Source organism: Homo sapiens, chromosome 10, assembly GCF_000001405.40.
Source record: "Homo sapiens chromosome 10, GRCh38.p14 Primary Assembly".
Lineage (NCBI taxonomy): Eukaryota > Metazoa > Chordata > Mammalia > Primates > Hominidae > Homo > Homo sapiens.
Window position 1 is genome coordinate 118,241,106 of NC_000010.11, and position 7,971 is coordinate 118,249,076.

The 7,971-nt window shown below is 44.4% G+C and overlaps 1 long non-coding RNA gene across 4 annotated transcripts; it reads left to right on the forward strand.

Annotated features, from left to right (window-relative positions):
* Positions 1-399: 399 nt before the first annotated feature.
* On the forward strand, positions 400-6,769 carry LINC02944 (long intergenic non-protein coding RNA 2944). Of its 4 annotated transcripts, XR_946349.3 has the most exons (5): positions 400-577; positions 678-781; positions 4,243-4,329; positions 4,441-4,528; positions 6,594-6,769. It is a non-coding gene; the product is annotated as a long intergenic non-protein coding RNA 2944 (long non-coding RNA). The 4 variants fall into 4 exon arrangements; XR_001747602.2 differs by having other exon boundaries at positions 4,441-6,769; XR_428818.4 differs by lacking the exon at positions 4,441-4,528.
* The last annotated feature ends 1,202 nt before the right edge of the window (positions 6,770-7,971 follow it).

Here is a 7,971-nt window from a genome sequence, read left to right on the forward strand (position 1 = left end):
CACATAGTAGTAGACACTTAATAGATGTTTGTTGAAACATTCGTAGATAAGTGGGTAGATACACACTGACATTTAACGATGTGCCTTAATTCAGCTTTAAGTGCTAATGTTTATTAACGGTGATGCGTAAATACAACAGCACACATTCTGATTTAGGCTCGTCCACTGAAAATGTCCCCCTACTTCCAAAACGTAAACCGGTACCATTTAAGGATCGAAATGAAAACAACGTAATAGTGAAGTTGTCTTGGAGGAATTGCTGGAGGACGCCTTTGATACCTTTATGGAGAATGAATGGGAAGCCTTTGCGTGTGGCTGACACAAATGGTTGTCACACGCCATCTAGTGGCCATCCGTGAAACTGTGCATATGCCGTGGGAAACGCTTTTGGAACAAGTTGGATTGCTCCGAATTTCAGTGCCTATCGGGCAGCCAGTGAACATTTGTCCATCTTTAAGGCATTAAACTGAGAAGAACCACTGAGGAAAGCATGCCACAGTCTTTCCCAAAATCCCTGTGTCTTAAGGAACAACCAAGAAGTTAACTGGTCAGGGAAAAGATTTCTTTTGGAACACAGGTAAGCAAAACCAAGACGCCATCGGAGACACCCTTGCCTGCAACGGTTGTGGTATAAAGCAAGGTAAGTAGCGTGATATTCACTGCTTTTTGTCCCACAGAAGCCATCGCTGTGTGCGGAAATCCATGACCTGGCCATGACTTCTACAACCCGGAGGACTTGCCTGGCATTACCGAAAAGCACAGGGGAAAGATTCTGTGGCAGGTGCCGCATTTCATCCAGCTCACTCCGTGCTAGTTCCTAAGACATCTTAATTCTTACACATATGCATAATCGTGATATTTTGCCATGAATAACAATATATTTCACAATTATCAACCATTTTAATTTTTAGCTTTCTAACCTCGGACTACTATAATAAAAAGAAATAATAAATCCAAAAGTAGTAGTGGAAAAAATAAGTATCTCCAGGTTTGTTCCTGTAAAGTTAATTAGTTCAAAACAGAGTGAGGACTCTAAGAGTTTGGGGTTTTTTTGTGTGTGTGTGTTAAGTATCAGCATTAAGTATCTTCAAGACAATTCAAAGTAAGATGATAAGTCACTAGGTTGTAAATTTCACAAAAAATCATTAAATACACTGTGTCGGACTACAGCGGAACAGTGGGAAGAACATTCAGTATTTGAGAGTAAACAACTCAAATTAAGTTGTTTAGGAATCTCACAGACAGGAAAATTTTTCCTCTCTGGTTTTCCATGGTAGCATGTTTACAGTACTTGAAAAATGTTGCTTTCAAGTCATGTTAACTGCTTCTTAAGACCATCAAATAAGAAATGATATAGCTTATTAGTTCCAAAATAGAAAATCCTATAACATCATTTCCTCTTCATGTTAAGGTTAACTTCCATTATAAATATATGCTTTCAGTATAAAATGCTCGACCTCAAAAGATACCAGCTTTTGCGTTTTGAACTATAATCGTGATCCATAAATGGTGATAGAGCTTCAGCTACATCTCAAACATTTATGTTCCACTCTCTTTATCAAAGAGCGATTTATTTTCAGAGAAACATTTATCAATTTAAGGTGTCTGAAATATTCATTTTTTAAAAAGGGCTATAAACAAGTAGCAAGATGAATAATCTGGTTTTCTGTGGGTTAAGTTACATATCAAAAAATCCTAAAATTTTTCATCATTTTGATGCACTATTCTTAATTTTTAAAAACTCATTGTCTGAAAGCAAGACAGATATTTTAATGCTAATATGTAAAAATAAACCGGATTTACGGTCTTGGGTCTCTGTCGTTGCCTATATATCTAGATGTCTACAAAAATATTCCAGATTTTCTGCTTTTCTTAATCTCAAATGTTCAAAATGACTACATTTTCTAGAATATTTACCTATTAGCTGATGTTATTGTTAAAAAGAAAATCAGACTAATTTTGGCAGTATTGTGCCTTACTACAAATCCTGTCTTTACTGTGAGAGTGGAGAAAAATAAAATTTGCAGAATTCCAGTCTCTAGCCATTGGCATTTTCCGGGCTTTCTTGTTTTCTATATATTGAGTCCCCTGTGCGTATGGGAAGCTCAGCTGAGGACTAATGCAAACTATTTTCCCACAAGCCAACATGTCGTCACTACAAATATACCTAAAAATAAAAATAAATAACATGTAAAAGTGCTCTGTCCTCAACAAAGCAGAAGGGTGAGATTTTGATCAAGCCATCTGTGGTTGCCGTGACATTCTGACCAGTCCAGTAGAAATCACATGATTCTTTAGAACATCTAACTCTCTCCTCTGTCCACTTTGTAGCGATATTGCTGGGATAGCCTGAGACAATTTCAGAGAGGTTTGGGGCTCAGGAAGACATAAATGCAATGCATTGTTTTGCAAGATCTGGCTGGAAGGGTGTAGCGTGAAGTAAAATTAAGACCTCCTCCTTTATTGTGAGGCACAGTTGGGCTGTTTGATCTCTAAGTCCTCGGATAATTGGAGTCTACACAGCCTGTGGAATTGGGTCCTGAGCAGCTCACCCTCATGCCCAAAGCCCACCGCCGACCTGCCTGGGGCACCATTTATCCCCACCCCGCCCCCACCAAACACACACACACCAGATTCAGCTTGTATTCAGGGTTCTGCCTTGAACACAGGCATTGTTTCCAAGCTGAGAAAATGATGATGTGGAAATTCTAATAGAAGACATACTGTTTGTTATCAGGTACACAAAAGTAAACAGAAATGATCCTGGGGTATAAGAAGCCCCCCTGCATTTGGGTGATTCCCTCATCACATTCCATAACCTTCCTTTCAATAATGGTGGTTTTCTGATCCAACTTCACTATCACAAGCTTATTTTTTCATGTTAAATTTCCAGGAAATCTACCTGTCCACCTTAGATCACTGTGTACTCGTCCTCCTCTGAGCCCGTGAGGTACCAATGGCTGGTTTACACTCCATTCATTCAACAAATATTTACTGGGCACCTACCACGTGCCAAGCACTCAGCTAGCCGGGAGCCCTGTGGTGAATAGTAGTGACATGCTTCTCAACAAGGATGGTGATAAACTGACCCAGCTTGCCCAGAACAGAAGAGATTTTCAAGACATGGTGCTTTCAGCTTTTAAACTAGTATAGTCCCGGACAAACAGGGACAAGTTGGTCACCCTATAATGAATCTAGCACATACTGTCTTCTATGGCTTCTCATCTTCTTAGAAGTGTGTGCCCCTATTCACAAAGCCGAGACCTTCACACGTGTTTTCAGATCTACTATCTAGAAGCTCTGCGTGTTTGAGCTAGGCAGAGCTGTAGCGGTTAGCCCAGCCACGTGCTTCCTTGCCTTAATCACCATGGGGTAGATCCAGGTTTGAGGAGCCTGAAGCTTATACAATCCGAGGGGTGGTGGGGAGCAATGCTCTCCTTAAGAAAAAGAAAACAAAATTATTGATACAGAATACAGAGCCTTGAGGGAGCGAACTTGCAAGACAGGGCCCTGAAGCTTAAGCTTCCTTAGCTTCTCAGACAATCCTCCTTTTGTTTAAAATAATGATAATTAGCAGTTAACATTAACTCGTTTAATCCTCACAGGTGGGGTCATTATTTCCATTTTACAGATGAGAAATTTGAGGTCGCAGGAGTTTGGGTAACTTGTCTTCGGTCATCCAGCAAAGTTGGAATTTTTTTTTTTTTCTTTTTTTGAGACAGAGTCTCGCTCTGTCGCCCAGGCTGGAGTGCAGTGGCGCGATCTCGGCTCACTGCAAGCTCCACCTCCCAGGTTCACGCCATTCTCCTGCCTCAGCCTCCCAAGTAGCTGGGACTGCAGGTGCCTGCCACCACCCCTGGCTAATTTTTTTTTTTTTAGTAGAGACGGGGTTTCACCGTGTTAGCCAAGATGGTCTCGATCTCCTGACCTCATGATCCAACCCTCTCGGCCTCCCAAAGTGCTGGGATTACAGGCGTGAGACACCGCGTCCAGCCTGGAAATGATGACTGGATGAGGGAAGTAAAGACCCAGGCTGCTGGGGGAAGTGGAACTTGCAAAACACAATCACCTGCTAGCAATTCAACCAACTCTATTGGTTTAAAACGCAAATCCTTCAGGAACCAGCCAGTCAAAGTGTGTGGGCCCTGAGAGGTTTTGGGTGGAAGGAACCTTAGAAGAAGCCTGTGTGTGTGTGGCTCTCAGCAAATGGATTTACCCTGTCCACGTCATGCATTTCTCTAGAGAATGATGGGAGTTGTGATCCATACCTCCGTGTGCATAATGGTTGTACCTGCTCCAGGAAGGCGCTGGATCCTCCCAACTCCATGGGTAAGCCTGTGAGAGATCGTCTTCTGGCCTTGTTTTTGTTTTTCTGTTTTGTTTTGTTTTGTTTTAGCACAACCCTTTTTCTTCTTCTTCACTTCCCTTCTTGGTGCTCAGCCTGTTCCAGCCACCGTGTCAACATGCCTTGGTCCATAGCTCTGGAAGGCACACACCAAGCAGGACCAGTGAACAGAAGATGAGAAGGGTACATTTTGACACCAAACTGCCTGGGTTGGAAACCCAGCTCTGTGACCTAGGACCAGTCACTTAACTTCTGTGCCTCGGTTTCCCCATCTGTCGACTGGGGATGATGAGAGTATCTCTCACTGGGTTGTTGTGAGGAATGGATGAGGAAGTACAAATGCCGTGCCTAAAGCAGCGCCTGGTGCACACTGATATGATAAGTTTTATTATTATCATCATCCAATTATCATGATTTCTGGCAAGTGGGCACTTCCGTTCAGAAATCTCGGTGAGGAGACAGGGCCATCCACCGTATAAGAATGCAGGCTCAGCGTTTGGCCACTTCCATTGAGAATCAACGGTGACTTATTTGCAAGTCCCCATCCCCTCAATTGTCTCCCATCGAAATGGGCTCACGGCTTGGTCTGTGTGTCCGTGGGCCCCATGCTTAGCCTAGAAATGATGCACGAAATAGCACCTCTTAGGCTCACATCAATTGCTAATTAAAATGGCATTACCCCTTAATGGGTTGCAAAGTAGCACTCTCATTTCCCCACTGTGCATTTCCGCAGGCTGGACCCGGGCATCGACCCACCTGGGGTGACTGAGGCTCTCGGGAGAGGGAAGCTGGGCGTAGGACAATAAGTTAGGCAACTTCAGAATCTGCATTGTTTCTGACAAATAACAATGGAATAAAGCCAGAAACGTGCTTGTACCCATCAGTCACAGGTGCTGATAATAGTTCACCTAATTACTTCATTATTTTTTGCCACTCCATGCAGCAGTTTGTATTTACAATCCTGTATATGGTTCTATTACTACCACTTATTGTGACGATTCCAGCAATTCCGAGGAGTCTCGGAGGGCCTGGACAAGTAGAATCTTGTTTTTCTTGATTTCCCCCGGGGGGTGGGAGGTAGGAGGAGGTAGAGAGAGGAGGGGTTCAGAGGAAAAGCATCCAGCCAGCATCAACCCACAATTGCTCATCTCGGATGAGTGATAAATGATGGGTGATTTTTGAAACGCTAGAATTTTCAAACAAAACAAACATATCCTATCCTATTAGTTACCAGGCCAGCCTATTACACGGTGAGAAAGGGAGAAAGACAGGGTTGGGCTGCCCTGGGCCGGCACCCATGCTGGAGAAATGATCAGGACCCTGGCTTGGCGTCATTACATTGGAAGCCGGGCTGGAAACCATCCCCAGGGAATCGTCCTAATGAACACGGGCCACAAATTAACAAAGTTGGGTGGGAAAAACATTGTGAATTTTAGTCACTGAAGCATCAGTAAATCTGCTAGAAGTCAGGGCTGATTGCTTTTAGCTTGTTAAGATGTTGATTGTTTACAAATTACATTTCCCTTTAAAAAGCAGGCACCTCTCAGCGGCTCCTTGCCACCGGTCCCTTGCTGGGTGCTTCCCACCGGGGACAAAGGCTGCCTGCTGTTCGCTGATCTAATTGCACTCTGCAGCCCCCTTGCTGCACTCTGCCCCTTCTCTCCCTTCTCCTACATTTTGAAATCTTTCTTAAACTGAGTCCTCCTACGAGCAGTGTTGTCAGACGGGCACTGGACTGTGCACACGCTGTGTTCTCATGATTTGCAGCTACCTGGAGGAGTGAAAGCTGAGTGCAAAATTGCCTTGTGAGAGCTGCTTTCCAGTTTAAATCACTTCCCAGTTTAAATTCATTCATTCATTCATTTATTCAATTCATTCAATGAATTCATTAAATTCATTCCTTCATTCATTCATTCATTCGACTTGTAACTTGAATGAATGAATAAACCAGCACCCGTCTGGTTGTCCATGCCAGGCAGCTGCTGGAGCTGCAGAGACAGATTTCAGAGAGTCAGGGGCTCACAAGCGCAGGCCTGGCTTGCAGGCACATCACTCCAATCTCTGCCTTCATCGTCACATGGTGCTATGGGCTGAACTGCGTCCTAGTCCCCAATTCATGTGTTGAAGTCCTAAACCCTAATACCTCAGAATGTGGCTGCATTTGGAGACAGGGCCTTTAAAGAGGTAATTAATTTATAACGGGGTTGTTAGGGTGAACCCTAATCCAATATGATTGGTATCCTTGTAGGAAGAGATTAGGACACAAACAACAGACAGAAGGTGACCACAGGAGGACACAGTGAGAAGCTGGCCATCTGCAAGCCAAGGAGAGAGACCTCAGGAGAAACCAAACCTGCCAGCACCTTAATCTTAGACTTCTAGCCCTCAGAACGGTGAGGAAATAAATCTCTGTTGTTCATGCCACCCAGTCTGTGGTGTTTTGTTATGGCCACTCTAGCAGACTAATACACATGGCACTGTCCCTGTGTGTCTGTATCTCTTCTTATAAGACCCACCCTTGGCTGGGCATGGTGGCTCATGCCTATAATCCCAACACTTGGGAGGCTAAGGAGGGCAGATCTCTTGAGATGAGGAGTTTGAAACCAGCCTGGCCAACATGGTGAAACCTCATCTCTACTAAAAATACAAAAATTAGCCAGGCGTGATAGCATGTGCCTGTAATCCCAGCTACTTGGGAGGCTGAAGCAGGAGAATTGCTTGAACCTGGGAGGTGGATGTTGCAGTGAGCCAAGATCATGCTATTATACTCAGCCTGGGCAACAAAGCAAGATGAAAGAAAGAAAGAAAGAAAGAAAGAAAGAAAGAAAGAAAGAAAGAAAGAAAGAAAGAAAGAAAGAAAGAAAGAGAGAGAGAGGGAGAGGGAGAGGGAGAGGGAGAGGGAGAGGGAGAGGGAGAGGGAGAGGGAGGGAGGAAAGAAAGAAAAGAAAGAGAAAGGAAGGAAGGAAGGAAGGAAGGAAGGAAGGAAGGAAGGGGGAGGGAGGGAGGGAAGGAAGGAAGGAAGGAAGGAAGGAAGGACGGACCCACCCTCCTCCAGTGTGACTTCACCTTAACCAATTGCCTCTGCAATAACCCTATTTCCAAGTAAGATCACATTCTGAGATTCTGGGAAAGATGTGAATTTGGGGGAGGACACTCTTCAACCCAGGGCAGTTTTCTAAAAGAGCACCCCTTAATCTATTTTTCACACTGACTATTTTTTATGGGTCTCAGTTTTCTCCCCCATCCCTATTCCCTTGGAGAGAGGTCAAGGGCCTATGTACACTATGATAGCTGCTTTGCAGAGAGCACGTGGTTGGGAGGCACTGCTTGTGTCTCAGTGCAGGCTGGGAGCACCAGTCAAAGAAGCAAGAAGCTCTAGGTGCTCCACAATGACCCATGCCTTACACACCAGCTTGGGAGGGCCCCACGCAGCTTTCTCCAGGTCTGTCCACCAGCAAGCCAAGGGGGCAGCTGCAGGACTTTGTGATGTTTGCTGTCTCCACTTCTTATCCGTCACTGATTTAAATTTGTCCTGAGCTGTTTTCCAGGAAATGGAGTGAGAGATTGCACAAGTCCTTTGATCCCTCCCCATCTTCTCAAGGATGGCAGGGAAATGTCCCTGGTTC